This window comes from Homo sapiens, chromosome 6, assembly GCF_000001405.40.
Source record: "Homo sapiens chromosome 6, GRCh38.p14 Primary Assembly".
Taxonomy (NCBI): domain Eukaryota; kingdom Metazoa; phylum Chordata; class Mammalia; order Primates; family Hominidae; genus Homo; species Homo sapiens.
Genome location: NC_000006.12, coordinates 150973132 through 150993395, shown reverse-complemented (window position 1 = coordinate 150993395; position 20264 = coordinate 150973132). Strand labels below are relative to the sequence as shown.

Below are 20264 nucleotides of genomic sequence, written 5' to 3'. Positions count from 1 at the left end.
TGCGCCGAGATCACATCACTGCACTCCAGCCTGGACAACAGGGCAAGACTGTCCAAAAAAAAACCCACCCAAATTATCTAAATTCTGTCTCTAAATTACTCTAAATTCTGCTCATTTGTTTGTGTATGTGCCAAATGAAGAAATGGTTTTTTGGAAGAAAAAACTATTTTCATACTTGTTTAAAATATTTTTAGAAGTTATATCATGAAATTGTTGCCTGTCCCTGAAAAGTAAAAACAATCTACTCTCAACCAAAACATCTATGCAATTTCATAAAACAAACAAAGAAAAAGGGACTAAACAATATGGAGAGAGAAATCAAAAGAAGGTACTCAGATTGCTGGTGTTTACAATTCAGCATCTTTGTTTGCATAAACACTCAAACATACGAAAAAATTTAAAACCTCATTAAAACTTAACCGAGCATCACAGTGCTGAATCAGAAGCACTGGGTGAGTGATGAAGCCATGCTTGCTGCCCTTGGAAAGCAGCCTACATGGGAAACCACTGAGAAATCTCAGCACTGTTCATGTCTCTGGGTTTCGTTTGCAGAGAGAGTCGTAGCCCTGCTCAAGTCAGGTGGTTCACCCAGTCACCAACTGCCCGCATCCCTACCATTCAACCCAAGGGAAATGCAGGAATTTGTGCAGCCTCAAACAAAAGCCATCAGTGCTGCAAGAAAGTAATGTAAGGCCCCTGGCCCACTAAACATGGCCATTGACATCCAGATTTAGTTCTAAAAAAAGTGAAGATGTAACCACATACTCATCACAACTGCCAATCTTGGCTCTGGCCTCAACCTCTCTCCTAAATTACAGACCTAAATTTCCTTCCCCACCCTGAAATGGACAAACATTAACATTTTACCATGATTACTTAAGATTGTTCCTCTTTCAGAGAAGTAAAGCAGCATAGCTGAGTTCAGTATCCCATGCGCTCATCCCACCCCTCTACTTCTTCCCATGGTCATAACTCCTATGAACTCAGAGCTTATGCAGATCAGGTTTTCAGACTTTTTCTACATAAGCACACATGCATAAACAGAATATAGCATTGTGTTATGTGTTTTTCAAAAATGTAACAGATTGTATACACACTTCCACAACCCGTTTTGTTTTTTCATTGTGCATTTCTGAGCTCCAGCAGTGTGGACATACCCAGAAGTAGCATTGTTGGTTATACCACGTGCACATCTCTTACTGACGAAGGAGTCCTTTCCTGGGGAGGGAGCCCTGTTAGATAACAATTTGTCCACTCTTTCCCTTCACTTATTCGACTTCAGAAAAGTGGTATGACTTATCTGATGGGGGGTTGGAAAGAAACAGTATCTTAAAGTACAGTCCTGGCAAAATCATTCAGGAAGTCCTCATGGATTAGAAACTATACTAACTCTTCTCCATGACTTTTAAAGACATTGAATGAGACTCCAGTCTATTTGCTTTACCCTGTCTCTGAACTAGCGAACTATTTTGATTCCTTGAACACAGGCCAATCTTTCTCCCCTCTCACCTTCTTCAAGGCTCGCCTCAGTGCCATCTTCTCAGGAGAGCCTTCCTGAAACCACTATTTCAAAACTGTCAATTTCTCCTCACTGGCAATTGAAAGCATAGTATTTCAGATTAGCATTTATTCCCCTCCAGAATATGACTTCATCTAATGATGAAACTCATCTCCCCCAGATGTCTTAGACTCTAAACTATGCCCACAATCTGCTGACACTTGTCAGCTACAGTCACATGCCTGTCGTTTGCTCTCTGCCTCGAATGTAATTTCCCTGTGTCTACATGTCAAATTACTTGATTTTTCAAGTCATTTTTTCCTTTTATAAAAAAAACTACTACAAAAGTAATACACAGTAATTGTAAAAATTTGAGAATGCCAAATCACAAAGTGTGAAGTGAAAATCACCATGATTCCATTACCTCCAGGCAAACAAAAATAATCATTTGATATACTTCTATATCTCTTCATTCCATATATAGATATAAATCTCATACAAATTGGAGATATATTATTTTACAACCTGATTTTTTTAACTTTATATTTTGTGAATGTTTTCCCATGTTCCATGTATACATTTATCTATTCTTTTTACTAGCCTTGATAGGATACCAACAATAATTTTTTTTTTTTGCTTTTTCCTGGAAGCTTTATGTTTAATTTGCACACTAAAAAGTAAAAAGTCACTCTATCTTTATTTTGAATATATTGTGATACAAAGCTCTATGGTTTATATTTTGGCAGGGCATGGCAGCTCATGCCTGTAATCCCAGCACTTTGGGAAGCAGAGGCAGATGGATCACCTGAGGTCACGAGTTCAAGAGCAGCCTGGACAACATGGCGAAACTCCGTCTCTACTAAAAATACAAAAATTAGCCAGGCATGGTGGCATGTGCCTGTAATCCCAGCTACTCAGGGAGGCTGAGGCAGGAAAATCACTTGAACGCAGGAGGCGGAGGTTGCAGTGAGCTGAGATCGCACCACTGCGCTCCAGCCTGGGTGACAGAGCGAGACTACATTTCAAACAACAACAACAACAAACTCTATGGTTTATGTTTTAAAATTATTAGTCAAATGTTCCAACATCATTTAATCAGTATCCCATCCATTCACCACTAATTTAAAATGTCATCTGGCCAGGTGCAGTGGCTCATGCCTGTAATCCCAGCACGTTGGAAGGCCAAGGCAGATGGATCACCTGAGGTTGGGAGTTCAAGACCAGGCTGGCCAACCTGGTGAAGCCCTGTCTCTACTAAAAAATACAAAAAAATAGCTGGGCATGGTGGCGCATGCCTGTAATCCCGGCTACTCGGGAGGCTGAGGCAGGAGAATCACTTGAACCTGGGAGGTGGAGGTTGCAGTGAGCTAAGATCACGCCATTGCACTCCAGCCTGGGCAAGAAGAGTGAAACTCTGTCTCAAAAAAATAAAAGAAAAGAAAAAAATAAAAATAAAAATAAAATGTCATCTTATCAAATTACTACTGGAAGAAATCTATCTCAGGACACTCCAGGGTATTCCTCTGCTATTAACTGTTTTGCTATAGGGTTATCTTGTTCTGATACTTACAATTAGTTTAATCATCCATCATGGTTCTTGAAAAAGCCTTTTTTTTTTTTGAGACAGAATCTCACTCCGTCGCCGGGCTGGAGTGCAGTGGTACAATCTAGGCTCACTGCAACCTCTGCCTCCCTGGTTCAAGCGATTCTCCTGCCTCAGCCTCCCAAGTAGCTGGGACTACAGGCACGCACCACCTCACCTGGCTAATTTTTGTATTTTTAGTAGAGACAGGGTTTCACCATGTTGGCCAAGCTGGTCTCGAACTCCTGACCTCAAGTGATCTGCCCACCTTGGCCTCCCAAAGTGCTGAGATTACAGGCGTGAGCCACTGCGCCCGGCCTTGAAAAAGCTTTTAAATCCATCCTCATGAATTCATTCTTGCAGAATCTAGACAAATGCTGTGATTAATTTAACCACGAAGTTCATTTTCCTCTGCAGTTTTTACAGTAAATACAGTATAGTATAGTGTGGCATGATATAGTATAGTAATTTTATAGTAATTTAGGTGTTAGTTTGACAGAGGAAGGATGATTAATACCAGTTATTCCCATCTAAGAGTATGTCATGTGTCTTACCATTTATTCAGGTCTTGTTGTTTGTCTTTCAATAAAGTTTTATAGTTTTATTCTATGTGCTCATTTCTTGCTAAACTTATTTCCTAAGTATTCTATCCTTTGGGGGACATGTATAAGTAGGACATTTTCTCTATTACAGTATGTATTTATGGCTAACAAAAAAAGAAAACTATTGACATTTACATATTTACATTGCATCCACTAGCAAACTAAAACTTTTATTACTTAAAATAAGTTGTCAGTTGCCTCTCTTGAATTTTCTAGTTATATAATTATTCTGTACATAAATAATAAAATGTGTCTCTTCCTTTCCAATATTTATAATTTTTGAAATTGTTCTTATTCATGCTTCAGAATAATGATGAATAATAACGGTGAGTATAGGCACTGCTGTGGTGTTCCTTATATACTGGATGCGTCTTCAGGGTTACACTATTTAATGCCATGATCACATTAGTTTCAGTTTTTCAGTTTTACTTAAATTCTTCTGTTGCATGAAGTCTTCCTTTATCATTCCACTTAGATACCCTTTCATTCCTAAAGTTACTTCTTTGCTCTGCTTTATTTTGATCTAGATACCCAAGCAGTTTGTAATTTGCATAGTACTTTTAAATCTTAGGCAGCTTTTAAATTGATATTATTTATACTGAAGCATTAATGGTTAAGACAACATTCACAGCTATGGCTAGCAAGAGGCTTGCGGCTTTTAGAGATCCCTAATAGGCCAGGCGTGGTGGCTCACGCCTGTAATCCCAGCACTTTGGGAAGCTGAGGTGGGCAGATCACCTGAGGTCAGGAGTTCGACACCAGCCTGACCAACATGGAGAAACCCCATCTCTACTAAAAATACAAAATTAGCTGGGTATGGTGGCACATGCCTGTAATCCCAGCGCTTTGGGAGGCCAAGGTGGGCAGATCACCTGAGGTCAGGAGTTCGAGACCAGCCTGACCAACATGGAGAAACCCCACCTCTACTAAAAATACAAAATTAGCCGGGTGTGGTGGCACATGCCTGTAATCCCAGCTACTTGGGAGGCTGAGGCAGAAGAATCACTTAAACCTGGGAGGAGGAGGTTGTGGTGAGCCGAGATTACATCATTGCACTCCAGCCTGGGCAACAAGAGTGAAACTCCATCCCCGCTCCCGCCCCCCCCACAAAAAAAGAAAGCCCTAATAATCTGTTTTTCTACACCCCACAAAAGATGTTAAGAGGTACATAGAAAGATACACTAAATGCATCTTCCTTTAGCAATGGCTGGTTTCCCAATATTCCTAGCTCAAAATTCTGTTATGTTTTCTTTGTGTAAGAACAGCACAATATTGTAATTATACCAAACGTTGCTAAAAACTTTAAAACGACCTCATATAATTGCAATATCCTAAACTATAGCTTATACAAGGAAGGGGTAATTTGACTCTTTTTGAGTATCCTCAGGCTGAATGCTCTTGGCTAAGATGGGGTAAGATAGCAATCATATAACGTAATTTTAAAGTTATTATGTAACGGATATTTTTAAAAATTCTCAAAAAGCTTATGCATTTTATGAATTTCAAAACTTCAGTTTAACCTCTGGATCACATTTTAAAATCATTTAATGTTAACTTTCATAGCACTAATCTCTGCATGACAATGTTTTGACAAGGATCTTATTTTAACTCCACATTTTATGATGGTAAGCAGAACTACATTCTAAGCATATTACTTAGAATATATATAAATCATAAGCAGGGATGGGCTGAATATCTCATTGAAAATCAATCTGCATCTTACAGCACATAGAGAAACAGTCAAGGTCAGGTTAGACAGCCCTAAACCTCAAAACTCCTTCCAAAACGTTTTACCTTTTAAATTTAATTACTCTTTTACCTGATTTATTTAATTGCTGCTTCAACACAGCACATGGAAAATATGCCTGTGTTCACCATAAAAAGCCTAGTGGCCATGCAGACAGGTTTACCAGTAGTTAAGTCATTCAGCTACCAGAAGTGTTACTAGTTTCTCATTTAACAAACGTGCACTTCCTGTTATGCACAGGGCTGTATGATGCTGCTATGGAATGAAAGTGAACATTCAGAGGTGGCAAAGCACGGTGGTAAAAGCAAAGGCTGTGGGGCCGACACTCAGGTTCAAATTCCTGCTCCCCCTTGCGCTAGCTGCCTGCCTTTGAGCAAACTACTAACTCACTCGGATGCTCAGTTTTCTCACCTGCAAGATGGGGGTAATTCTGGTAAACTACTCATGGTGTTGTTTGAGCAACTGAATGAGTCACAATGTACAAAGCACCAAGCAGGGTGCTCAGCACGTAGCCAGGTCCTCACAGGAGGTAAACTCTTACGACTGTTAGCAAAGATTTATCCATGCCTGGAACAGCACCATATGCATTACAGAAGTCACTTCTGCTGTCCTCACACTGCCTTGTATGTTAGGTCATATTATTTCCTACAGCTTTACAGACAAGAGAACTGGGGCAAGAAAGGGCTCTCAAACCTCTATAAAGGGGTCTCAAACCTCTAAAGGGTCTATAAAGAATGGATAAATAGCCTGCTAGATGCAACTACCCGAATGACTCGTAGAAGCCTAATTAAATGTAAAAAGCAGGTTAGGGAAGATCCTATACACAATACTATATTATTTTTGCAAAATTGAAACATTTTGCCTATTTCAGTAGCGAGAAAATAAGACTTTAACATTAAAAGCCTTGTTTCTGTTTTTCTTCATAATGCATTTGGCATGGTAAGCATATTAGAACAGAGGTCCCCAGCCAGGCGCGGTGGCTCACGTCTGTAATCCCAGCACTTTGAGAGGCTGAGGGGGGCAGATCACTTGAGGTCAGGAGTTCGAGACCAGCCTGGCCAACATGGTGAAACTCAGTCTCTACTAAAATGACAAAAATTAACTGGGCATGGTAGATGCCTGTAGTCCCAGCTACTTGGGAGGCTGAAACAGGAGAATCACTTGAACCTGGGAGGTGAAGAGTGTGGTGAGCCGATATTGTGCCACTGCACTTCAGCCTGGGCGACAGAGTGAGACTTGATCTCCAAAAAAACAAAAACAGAGACCCCTAACCCCCTGGTCTGCAGCCCCTGTAAGGAACTGGGTCGCACAGCAGGAGGTGAGCAGCGGGCAAGTGAGCATTACTGCCTGAGCTCCACCTCCTGTCAGATCAGCAGTGGCATTAGATTCTCATAGGAGTGTGAATGCTACTGTGAACTGCGCATGTAAGGGATCTAGGACCCACGCCTTATGATCTGAGGTGGAACCGTTTAATCCCAAAACCACGGAAATGTTGTCTTCCAAGACACCGGTCCCTGGTGCCAAAAAGGTTGGGGAGCAGTGTTTAGAACACAGCACATACATACAGATGTAGGTCTTGGGATTCCCCATGACAGTTGGAATTTAAGGGTTATATCACAATGCAATTTAGAGTTTTTCTTTTTTAAATGAAAAGTCCTTGATTGGGCCCTTAGATGATACCCTGACTTAATAAGACTGGTTGTAAAGCAAACATATTTATAAAACTTGCCCAAGTTCTGCATTACTGACTAGCACTTTCATTAAAGGAAAAGAATTTAGAGTAAAGATCAAATTCACTGTGTAAAACTACAGACTGTACTTGGCTGGGTAAAAGTAACATATACAAAATGACTTAGCTACTCCATTTTTCAATAAGGTTTGCCTCTGGTTTCTCTCCCCTTGGTAGTCATGGTCTTTCCCAAATAAGGAGTCAAATCCCTCAAATTTTGCTTAACATCCCTTTTGGCACCAAGAGTATATCTGAGGTGTCAAGTATATCAGCTGAATTTAAGACCATGTGTCTTTAATTTTAATGTTTAATGCCACCGAAGATTCTCTGCATTGTTTGTCGACAATTTTCACGTTGGAGTTTCTTCTACTCTTTTGCATTCCACAGTGCAAGGCTGAGGCAAGACAGGGAAAGGCACGGAAATGGCACGAGGCACCAGTGACGTGCTATTTCCCAGTGCTTCCTGCTCTCTCCCAGGTAACAAGGAAACATTTTAAACAAGCCTTTCAAGAAGGATTACCTTAATTCAAAGGAGAGTTTTCTTTTTCTTTCTTTCTTTTTTTTTTTTTTTTTTTTTGAGACAGAGTCTCACTCTGTCACCCAGGCTGGAGTGCAATGGTGTGATCTTGGCTCACCGCAACCTCCACCTTCCAGGTTCAAGCAATTCTCTTTCCTCAGCCCCCCAAGTAGCTGGGATTACAAATGCATGCTACCAAGCCCGGCTAATTTTTGTATTTTTAGTAGAGACAGGTTTCATCATGTTGGCCAAGCTGGTCTCAAGTGATCCACCCGCCTCGGCCTCCCAAAGTGCTGGGATTACAGGCATGAGCCACTGTGCCCGACCTCAAAGGAGAGTTTTCAAAACAATCAGAGCCCCTCCGATTTCTCAGATCACCTCTAAGTATAATGGTCCCAGACACCTTTGTACAAGGAGAACACATAAGCAGCACTGTTTCCCATTATCAGAAGTCAAATTTCTCAGTGAGTTTCATTTACCAAAAGAAAAAAGATGGAAAAAAGTATACTCACAGAGGTATTCAGCACTTGAAAGACCAAATTATGTTTCTGAAGGCTTATCCTATAGGTAAAGATCCTTGGCATCGTACAGTGGGAATAGGAGCTGCCAACCCCTGACTCTTCTATTTGTGCCACAGTCCATGCCTTCTCCATCATCACTGCACTTCATGCCTAGAACAAGCCTGGAGGTAGGTATTGGAGAAACCTAGATTTGGGGGAGGTGAAGTGACCCACCCAAGGTCACAGACAGCACATGGCAAAGAGCAATTCAAAACCAGGCAATTGGAGCCTGAAACCTAATATGCGTGGCTACTCAGAAGAAAATCCATCTCCATTATCTGGATTTTCATTGTATTATAGCGGAAAATGACACATGAATTATATTGGCATCAAAATGCAATTTAAAAAATGACTCTAAGTTAAGTCTATTGAAACTTTGAAAGACAGATTGTAAGATGTATTAGTACCATGTTGATCTTTAAGAAATTCTGTTCCTAATTTTATAAAACATTTTTAATTTTATGAAATATTTTACTTATACAGAAGAATATGTGTAAGTTCAAAAACGTGAACATCATCATATACAAAATTTGGGACGGTAGGTACTTTTTTACTTTTACTTTATTTATCTTCCTTTTTTTTTTTTTTTCCCTTGTTTTTGGTTCCTGTGTTTAGGATGGTAGGTACTTCTAAGCACTGACTTCTAACAGCTTACTATTCCCAGTGCACCGTGTAGAAAGACAGAAACCAGGCTTCTCATTAAAAGTCTTCAGTTACTTTATCTGAATAAAGGGGGGAAAAAGGCTTTCTAGCTACTTAATTCTCATTTGTTTTGCATGTTTCTTCTGAAAAATCAATTCTAAAAAATTGCTAACATCATATACTCCTTTTTCTGCTGAGCCAGGTCATAAAAATCTTTCAATTTCTATTATCCTGACAGGCGAAGGTTCCTCTCTCCTTATGTCATAAACATCTTTCCATTACTTTCATATTTAATGAACATACTAGCCATACAAACAGGACCTACCTGCCTCTAATCCAGTAAGTACATTGAAGGTATTCCAGGTAAAGACATTTTATTTAAAGAATTTTATAAAAATATTAAAGTCAATAGACAATGTAGAATTTGACCATAAAATTAAATCCTTTTGGATGGGCGCAGTGGTTCATGCCTGTAATCCCAGCATTTTGGGAGGCTGAGGCAGGCGATCACTTGAGCTCAGGAGTTTAAGACCAGCCTGGGCAACGTAGTGAGACCTCATCTCCAGAAAAAAATTGAACAATTGGCTGGGTGTAGTGGATTGTGCCTGCAGTCTCAGCTACTCAGGAGGCAGAGGTGGGAGGATCGCTCGAGCCCAGGAGGTAGAGGTTGCAGTGAGCTGTTAGCCTGGGGGATAGAACGAGACTCTGTCTCAAAAAATTAAAAACAAAACAAAACAAAACGAAAAGAAGAAAATTAAACCCTTTCTTTTGTTTTCAAAGTTCCAAGGAAACTTCTTTTATGACAACTGCTTGGAATTGAACGTAACAGTTCCTAGGATTGACTTAGGAAGTAGGAAGACAAGAGAGACTTTCTTTTTCCTGGGGACTGCACAGCCATGTCAGGTGAAGCTCAGAAGGAGCAGGTAAAGAAGAGATGATGGTTTTGGAAGAACAGCTGGCCCCATCTGCACTCGCCTTGGATGCTGCAGAGCCTGGGACAAAGGGGACAGCACTCTCGGCTGCCTTAGATCTATGGAGGCCAGCTGGCCCTTTTCATAGGGCTGGGCTAACAACCACTGATGCACATATCACCAGGGCAGAAAAGTCTCACAAACTGTAAGAGTTAAGGAAAAAAGACACCATTACACAAACAAATTCTAAGATGATTAAAGGCCTCAATGCAAGAGACAACAGTTATAAGGCAATACAAATGATTATCTTTATAACCTCCAAAAGCAGAAATCATAAAGAAAAGGGTGGACAAGAAAAGGTACAACAAGCATATTTAAAAGATAAGCCATACAGGGGAGAAGATATTTGTAACTCATAATGGCAAAGTATTCGTATTCGGAATCTATAAAGGATTTCCATTAATTAGTAAGAAAAAGGTAAATAGCACAATACAAAATAGACAATTCACAAATGCCCAGAAACAGCCATAAAGATGCTAAATCTCACAACTATAATGAACTACCATCAGATTAGCAAGAGCTAAAAAAATCTAACAATAGAAGCGTTCAGCCGGTCATAGTGGCTCATGCCTGTAATCCCAGTACTTTGGGAGGCCAAGGTGGGTGGATCACCTGAGGTCAGGAGTTTGAAACCAACCTGGTCAACTTGGCGAAACCCCATCTCTACTAAAAATACAAAACTTAGCCACGTGTGATGGTGTGCACCTGTAAGCCCAGCTACTTGGGAGGCTGAGGCAGGAGAATTGCTTGAACCTGGGAGGTGGAGGTTGCAATGAGCTGAGATCATGCCACTGCACGCCAGCCTGGGCAACAGAGAGAGACTCTGTCTCAAGAAAAAAAAAAAAAAGAAGTGTCAGGACAAACGTGGAGAGGTCAGAAATCTCACACACACAATTGGTAGTGATATAAATTGGTATTACGTTGCAGAACAATTTGGCTTTATCTATTAAGTTGTTGCTAAGCGTACTTTTAACCCCCCAAATCTCACTCCTGTATATAGTCCCTAGAAGACCTTTTAGACTAAATCTCAGAGACATGGACAAGAATGTCCCCCGTAGCATTATTTGTAACAGCAGAACACTGGAAGCAATCTGAAAGCCCCTTGACAAATAATGCACAAATGCACGTGCTACATGCACGCACAGAAGGCTAAACTGCAGGCAAAATGAGGCTTTTTGGATCACAGTGACATAGAGAAATGCAAAACTGTTATGTTGCACAAAAATATCAAGTTATAGAGCAGGGGTTGGCCAGTATGGCTAGCAGGACAAATCCAGGTGCCTCTGGGTTTTGTATATGGTCTACATCTTTTTTTTTTTACATGTTAAATTATTAAGTTTTTAAAAATTATTTATCCTTTTAAAAAGTGTTCTCTTTCTTTCTTTTCTTTCTTTCTCTTTTAAAAAGTATTATCTCTCTCTCTCCCCCTCTCCCTCTCTCTCTCTCTTTCTTTCAAGACAGGGTTTCACCATGTTGTCCATAGTAGCTTACCAAGTAGCTAGGTGTGATCATAGCTTGCTGCAGCCTTAAACTTTTGGACTCAAGTGATCTTCCCACCTCAGCCTCCCGAGTAGCTGGAACTACAGGCATGTGCCACCAAACCTGGCTAATTAAAAATTTTTTTTATAGAGATGGGATCTTGCTATGTTGCCCAGTCTGGTCTTGAACCCCTGGGCTCAAGCAATCCTCCCACCTTGGCCTCCAAAAGCAGTGGAATTACAGGCATGAGCCACTGTGCCTGGCCACCTTTTAAAATGTTGCCAACAATATCAGAAGAGTATTATTACACGTGAAAATTATATGAAATTCAAATGTTAGGAACCAATAATAACATCTGTTGGAACACAGCCAGACTCATTCCTAAACATGGACTAGTTTATGAATTCATGCTTTACCTATGGCTGCTTTCTAAATTGAGTACTTGGGACAGAGACTCTGTGACCCAAACTATTTATGATCTTGCCATTTACAGAAAAAGTGCAGTGACCTCATTAGAGAACAATGCAGTCAGTTAATATCTATTAATATATAAAATTTGAAAACACATAAAAAATACCAAGAAAAGCCGCACATCTGTGATTCTAATGTGCAATGAGGTGCCGTGAGGCATTGCAGCAAACTCAGAGGCACCGTGGGGTATTTTAAATTTTTGACGGAAACGCGGTAATACAGGACATCCGTTGGACACTGCAAATACTACTCATGTGAGGTTTTTCACTGCTTCAACAATAGTGCTCTACATCCCTTTCCATGACATCATATATTTGCAAAGCAAAGTTTTTGGCAGGTACCGCAGCAAAATGCAAAAATCGTGTGAAAATCAACGTGGAACAGGAAATGAGGTGCGGGTGTCAACTGGTTACAAAGGGTCAGAAGTTGTCTGGTGCCTGACAAGGACACACATCTCATTCATAACATATGGTGGTAATTTAAAAATGAAATGATGTTATTTTTTCCTTCGAATTCATATGTATTTTTTTTTCAGGTGGCCACTTAGTTGTAAGGACATAAATACTCATTAAGTTGTTTGGACCTATTTAATAAATGGACATGTTAGGTATTTCTCTTGCCCGGGCGGTACCATGAAAAAAATTGCTGGGCCATTAATGGTCACGAGCAGAGAAAGTCTGAGAACCTCCGCTACAGATCTCTAGTGTACATATATGTGTGTGGTCAAAGTAGAAACACACACCCGGAAACGATAATCACTCAAATCAGGAGAGAAGCAGAAAAAAGAACGGGATCAGGAGGGTCCACGGGAACTTCAACTGTGTCTCTAATATCTGATTTCTTCTCTTCTCTCTTTTCTTTTCTTTCTTTCTTTTTTTTTTTTTTTTAGAGACAGGGTCTCACTCTGTTGCCCAGGAGAATTAAACTGCTGGGCATAATTGATCCTCCTGCCTCAGACTCCCAAGTAGCTAGGACTATAGGCATGCGCCACCATGCCCAGCTAAACGTATCTCTTTAAAAAAACAAAAAAACTAAAGGACACACAGCGACATGTTAAGATTTTGATGAAACAGAGTGGTGGGAACATGGGTGTTTGTAACATTACTTTGCATACTTTCCTGTTTAGTGTATATGAAGAACATTTTGCTTTTTCATTTGTTTTCAAAGGACAGAGGAGCAGCTTGAAAGAGGGCTACTTTACACAAAAGCGTGGAAAGAGAAAGGGGAGGTAGGACAAGGGCCGAACAGACAGCGAGGGGACGAATGAGCTTCGGCACCAAGCCACACAGGAGAAATGAGAGCTCTGGAGATGACACAAAACAACCCTCCCTTAGAGTTAAGCCTTCCTGAAGACAGGGGCTGAAAAACACGACCTGTGATTAGCAGTTTCCTGAGTTCGCACATGACCTTCAGCCAGAGTCTCTAATAAGCCAGCACTTCTCAACCTTGATTTAATTATGAATAAATTTACTAAAGACAAAAAACCTGGAAGCATCATAATAACAAAAGTGGAGCCCAGGCTGAGATCAGTGTTTTTAAATAATGTAAACAGGGCAAGGTCTGGGAGAATTACAGCTTAGAGCTGCAGGATCACTTGACGTCAGATTTTTTTTTTTTTTTAAAGGTGGATGAAATCATGAGAATGTTTAGTTTGGTCTGGTTTTCTTCTACCAAAATGATGGAATATTTAGAATTTCAGGGCAATAAAAGTGGAAAGAGAGAACAAGCCACTAGCTGGGTATAGCCACCAGCAGAGTCCTCTGAAGGCCAAGAAGACTGATTATAAAACTGTCCCCTAGGCTGGGTGCAGTGGTGCACAGCTATAATCTCTACACTTTGGGAGGCAGGGGTGAGTGGATCGCCTGAGGTCAGGAATTTGAGACTAGCCTGGCTAACATGGAGAAACTCCATCTCTACTAAAAATACAAAACTAGCCGGGCATGGTGGTGCGTGCCTGTAATCCCAGCTACTTGGGAGGCTAAGGCAGTAGAATCGCTTGAACCCGGGAGGCGGAGGTTGCAGTGAGCCAAGATCGTGCCACTGAACTCAAGCCTAGGAGACAGAGTGAGACTCCGTCTCAAAAAAGGAAAATAAAAAAATTAAAAAACTGTCCCCCAAAAATACAGGTTGAGAGGTAGAGCAAGGAAACAGTGGGACTCGATAAGGTCATCTTCAATCAGTAACCTACTTGGGAGGAAGAAATGTTAAAGTAGAACACAGAAAAGAAAAAAAGGACCAAAAAGGACCACCACTGTTGGCGCACATTACGATATATTGGTACAATATAGTTATATTGGTACTTCCTGTAACTGTGACCATCTGCTGTAGACAGCTCACCCAAAATTCTTCTTATTTTTTTGAGACAGAGTTTTGCTCTTGTTGCCCAGGCTGGAGTGCGATGGCACAATCTCAGCTCACTGCAGCCTCTGCCTCCCAGGTTCAAGCGATTCTCCTGCCTCACCCTCCCAAGTAGCTGGGATTACAGGGCCCACAACCACGCTCGGCTAATTTTGTATTTTCAGCAGAGACAGGGTTTCACCATGTTGGTCAGGCTAGTCTCGAACTCCTGACCTCAAGTGATCCACCCACCTCGGCCTCCCAAAGTGCTAGGATTACAGGAGTGAGCCACTGCGCCCAGCTAAAATTATTTTTTAATGGGAGAGGGTGGCAACCAGGTAAAGAGCATTGAGAAAAACACTGAGCACAATAGCCGCCTGATCACCCACAAGCTTTGGCGAGGAGGAGCCCTCAGGTCACGTCCTCTGTCACTTACTCTCTGATTGATCGTGGACATGTATCATCATCTTGCTAAGCTTCTGTTACATCATCTGTAAGATGAGGATAGTAACACTGATCCCACAGACGGTTTTAAGGATTGAGTGAGAAGGTATATGATAGTCTCAGCACCGGTCTAATGCTCAGGAATGGCTCAGAAACGGGGGCGTTTTTAATGAAAATATTAACAAGGCTTTGTTTCCCAATCCCATTCAATTTGTCTTGGAACTGCTAAGTCGATTCATTCTGATTTCTAAATCCTAATCCTGAAATGTCTGAGGCAAAGATCACCCTGTGTTTTAATTGGGCACTTGTCTCATATTTCTCCTCTGCTGCATGAGTGTTTATGCTCATGTACCCAGGAAGCACCTGGGGAACACAGCCAGGTCTGTGTGATTCTCTACAGAGAGCAAGCAGCAGAGTTGCAATCAATTAGGTAGCTTCTTGACAAGCACCTCTGGATAAGGATAATAAATGCCAAATGTGTATGGGACATCGAAAGCTACCGTCAAAAGTAGAGCTAGGCTTTGAGATATGCACCAACAGTTCTTTCTCTCTCTTATGTCATGGTCCCCTGTGAGAATCCAAGAATTGTGTAATTTTCTCCAGGTTAAAAAAAAAAGGTGGCCAGGTGCGGCAGCTCACACCTGTAATCCTAGCACTTTGGGAGGCCGAGGCGGGTGGAACACCTGAGGTCAGTTCGAGACCAGCCTGGCTAACATGGTGAAACCAGGTCTCTACTGAAAATACAAAAATTAGCCGAGTGTGGTGGCATGCGCCTGTAATCCAAGCTACTCAAGAGGCTGAGGTAGGAGAATCGCTTGAACCTGGGAGGTGGAGGTCACCGTGAGCTGAGGTCACGCCACTGCACTCCAGCCTGGAAGACAGAGTGGGACTCCATCTCAAAAAAAAAAAAAAAAGGTGTATATATATATGTCTCCATATGCACGAACCTATATTTAATTATGGGACAGAGTTGTAGATCGAAGTCTATCCAGGAGTCCACCAGTGGCTGGTGACCCTCAGTTAATGACACCTGCCTATAAGGATACACAATTGCATTCTGCACTCCTCTGCAAAGACAAGATCTTTATCTGAAAACTGGAATCAAAACCAACTGAGAGAGCAGAAAACAAATTAAAAAATCCTAAGTTAATGGGTAAGTTTGAAATTCCTACAAATAGTTTAAAGATGAGATAATAATGTTTTTAAAATCCAGGAACTCAATACTGCTTTTTCCTTTCTTTCTTTCCTTTTGCTTTATTTTTTAAATGTAATACATGATTAGAATTCGATGCCAAATATCTGTTTGCCTTTACAGCATGTAAATGGAAGTTAGGTGAACTCCCATGAGGACTGCTGACTAACGGAAGAAACAGCCACAACAGTGATCACAGCAGTTTTTGAAAAATTCTCATAAAGTGTTTTGCAAATTCATGCTTTTTTAAAATAAATGTCACTCTGTTTTAAGTCTAAATGGACTACTGATTCTATTATCTTAGACTAATTATTCAGAATAGACAAAATAATTCCTTCCTTGTGTATGCTTTTTGTTAGAACAAAAATTAGACTAAATCAGCAAAACCAGTAATATGGAGACAGTTCTATCTAAGAGATGCCCATCATCCCTTGAAATTCTTAGTTAAGAACCTTAACTAATATAGTACTTAATCAAGTGCATTGTACTTACCATTGAAGTTCTTGTCTCTCACAGCACATCATCAATTACTGGAGGGCAAGAAACCTGTCTTATTCATATTTGATTCCCAGCTCCTAGCAGATAGTACTTGACATATAGCAGAAGCTTAATAAATGCTCATTAAAGGGGTACTGAAGTCAATTATTTCAAAGGACTTAAATATATTTTTGACTACTTCTTTTCCAGAGTATACATAGAAGTGAAATTGCTAAATCATTTGTTCATTTTCAGTTCTACCTAGAAATTCCACCAAATTGCTCATTTGCTGCGAATCACCTTTTCAAATTCTCTATTTTTGTATTGGATTATTTGTCTTTCTCTTATCAGTCTTTAGTCTTTAGTGTTTTACATATTCTCAATGCTAATCATTGTCTACTATCTTTGCAAACGTTTCTTTCCAATCTGTCACTTGTTTTTTATCCTTGTATCTTTTATCACATACAGTTTACTTCTTAATGCAGGCCAAATTATCGACATTTTTCTCTATGGTTTGAGCTTTTCATATTTTAAGAGATCCTTCCCTATTATGAGGTCATAAAGATAGTCTACTATAAACGACAACTTTTTGAAGAACATGAATTCCTGCTCAGACTTCAGATACACCTCAGATGTGCCTACTCTATTTAACTTCTGTAGAAGGATGTTGAAATGAACGTCTTTTTGTCTCACTTTTGTTTCGGGCCTCAAATTGGTGTCAATTTGCTCACATGCCAAAGGATGGTGCTGGCTGACCTGGGAGGGTTTGCAAAGCAGTTTGAAATAGATTTTGTATGCCTTAGCCCATTGAGGCTTCAAAAGGGTTGACGGGTTAGAACCTGGGAAAGAATTTCTTCAAAGAAAGTTATCAGTGTGCCACATCCAGCTCCCCTCCCAGCTCCCAGTGAAGAGCATGCGAAGCTGCTTCCCCCTTATTTTTATTTTTTGAGACAGAGTCTGTCTCTGTTGCCTAGGCTGGAGTGCAATGGTGTGATCTCAGCTCACTGCAACCTCTGCCTCCTGGGGTTCAAGCGATTCTCCTGCCTCAGCCTCCTGAGTAGCTGATATTACATCATGCGCCACCAAGCCCCGCTAAATTTTTTTGTATTTTTAGTAGAGACGGGGTTTCACCATGTTGGCCAGGCTGGTTTTGAACACCTGACCTCAGGTGATCCACCCGCCTTGGCGTCCCCGCTTCCCCCTTAAGCCACAAGTGAGGACCAGAAGACCAGTTGGCAAGGCTCAGGGCGTGTCCCCAGCCAGAGGTCAGAGGTCTGTGGTACCCGAGACCAGGTGTGGAATCAGAGGTAGGAAAGTCTAAATGAGGTACTGCTCAGGGGGCTTCTGCCAAAAGTGTGAGGACGTCTGCTGGTAGAGGCTACATGGGCACCATTTCATGCCAAAGCTTCAACCTAGGAGGGGCCAGGGCGAGCCCAAGTGCAAGACAAGGGTGGCAGAGAAGCAAGCAGCCACCTTCCCCTTCCCACTGTCAGCCAGAGGAGGCCCAGACAGGGGAGGAGAGGAGCTCAAGTCTGAGTGACATTTGGAGTTTTTGGTTTTGATATACAACTGGATATGCATTTTTAATTTTAGGGGCTATTCTTATGATTGAAAGTGACCAGAGGAATTAAAAAATATATGTGTTAGAGGGACTAGATATTAACTGAGAATGAGAGGGAACTATTATAAACTTCATCCAAGGGCAAGGAATGAACGAGCCCCACAGTGCAGGCTTGACCAAGCAATGGGCAAGGAACACTGTCTCCTGACCACACCCCGTTCCCACTGTGCAATACACTGGCTTTGCCACCAGCATTCCAACAGAGCCACAGCATGGACACACCACCTTCGGGAGAGTTCAACATTACAGGGCTAGAGTTCCGTGGTACGTATTTGTGAATATAAGTCATTGCCATCACATATTTAGACATCATAGAGCACGATTTTTAGACATTAAAATATATTTGTACATCTATGTTCATAGCAGCATTATTCATAAGAGCCAAAGGTGGAAACAAGTCAAATGTCCAATGTAGGATGAGTGGATAAACAAAGTATGGTCTATCCATACGATGGAATATTATTCCGCCTTAAAAAGGAAGAGAATTCTAGCCGGGTGTGGTGGCTCACACCTGTAATCCCAGCACTTTGGGAGGCTGATATGGGTGGATCACCTGAGGTCAGGAGTTTGAGACCAGACTGACCAACATGGAGAAACCCCATCTCTACTAAAAAATACAAAAATTAGCTGGGCGTGGTGGTGCATGTTTGTAATCCCAGCTACTCGGGAGGCTGAGGTAGGAGGATCGCTTGAACCTGGGAGGCGGAGGTTGCAGTGAGCTGAGATTGTGCCATTGCGCTCCAGCCTGGGCAACAAGAGCGAAACTCCATCTCACAAAAAATAAAAAAAAAAAAAAAAAAAAGGAAGAGAATTCTGACGCCTGCTGCAACATGGATGAACCTTGAGGACATTATGCTAAGTGAAATAAGTCAGTCACAGAAGGACAAATACTACATGATTCCACTCACATGGGGTATCCAGGAGTCAACTTCATTGAGACAGAAAGTAGAAGGGCACTGCCAGGGGCTGGAGAATGAGGAATATTTAATGGGCATGGGACTTCGGTTCTGCAGCTTGGTTGCACAACAATGAAGGTGTACTTCACTAATGAACGTACACTCAAAAATGGTGAAGATGGTAACTTTCATGTTACGTGTATTTTATAACAACTATAAATAAAATCATCCAAAAAATAAAAAGATCCAAAGAAAAAAGAAAATGTAACCTTCATCAGTAGTGTATCAATAGTGGGGGTAACAATGACAGCCAGGAGTGGCCAAGAAGGATTGAGTCTTACCATGTGTCAGGTGCCAGGACTCAACCCCATGATCTCATTGATGCCTCATTTCAAACCTACCAAGTCCTTTCGAGAGGGAAGCCCTATCCAAAGCCCTATTTTACAGGTAGGGAAACCAAGGAAGAGAAGGGTTCATGTGCCCAAGGTTATCTGTGACTTGAAAGCAGTTGAGGTAAAACCTCTGACTTAGGGCTTGCCCTTTGAACCATCTGGCAACGGACAGATTTCATCCTCATGAAAAACCCCCCCACTTACGGCATCTTAGACTAGATGAGATCATAGAAAGAATTAGTATAATTGCTGACCTGAACATAGTTCATATTTTACAAAGCAGTTTCTCACTTGATCCTATTCATTAAAATACAGAAGTATTCTTTTTATTAAATAAAAAATTGAGCCCTAGAGAAATGAAAACACACTACCAGTCAGGGCTCCAATTCCACAGTGTCTAACTCTGAGTCCACGGCTACACATCCACATCCAACTCCTCATCTGGTCCAACTTCTCATTTTTCAGATGAGAATGTCTACAGGGGACACACCCAGAGAGGCTAATGGCTTGTTCAAGGTCACACAGAGGGCTCGTTTGCTTTGCATACATCATCAGTTTATATCTTTGAAAGTATTCTGCCATGATAACATGTATTTTATAAATATGTGTTTGACAAAGTAAGAACTGGTATGGGCAGAGATCTCTGTCAGCATAAAATAGAGTGCTTCCTTCTAGAAGCTACTTTATTTGCAGAGCTGATGCATCAGAACCACCACTTCACTTAAGCACCCAACTTTCCAGTGCCCGCCCTGACCCAGCCTCCTCGTCCATTAGCTCTACAATTAGGCAGCGATCAATTGAGCAAATCCACTTAGACAGTATGTCTAGCCACTCTTGCAGTGGATTTGCTACCGAAGGAGCAAAGTACATGAGAGCTGCAGAAAACAGATCATGGAGGAGTGGAGCTCCACCAAGCCTCATCTGATCCTGACTGCCAGTCCACAAGGAATTCTTAAAAGAGTCTCAATAACACTGAATGAACTTTGTGATGTCTGAGCATAAAATGCAGTGCCAAGTTCTTTTGTCCAGCACACTCTCTTCTAATAAAATAACTCTTTTGAGTTTGATCCAAAGCTGATGATAAGAGTGAAAGAAGAGATTGCTGTC

The 20264-nt window shown here is 41.2% G+C and overlaps 1 protein-coding gene across 29 annotated transcripts in view; it reads right to left on the bottom strand.

The window, feature by feature from the left end:
• MTHFD1L (methylenetetrahydrofolate dehydrogenase (NADP+ dependent) 1 like) overlaps window positions 1-20264 on the bottom strand; it is a 236186-nt gene that overhangs the window by 108492 nt on the left and 107430 nt on the right. For 3 of the 29 annotated variants that reach the window (NR_146720.2, XM_047418616.1, XM_047418615.1), the window contains exon 21: window positions 8188-8346. The exons of 23 other annotated variants lie outside the window; for them this stretch is intronic. Coding sequence is in view for 5 of the 6 variants with exons in the window: in XM_047418616.1 (XP_047274572.1) it covers window positions 8237-8346 (110 nt within the window). In the remaining variant the exon portion in view is untranslated. Of the gene's footprint in view, window positions 1-8187; window positions 8358-9234; window positions 9563-20264 lie in introns of those variants that run through there. 3 more of the 29 variants (XM_011535738.4, XM_047418617.1, XM_011535737.4) reach the window with 2 other exon arrangements.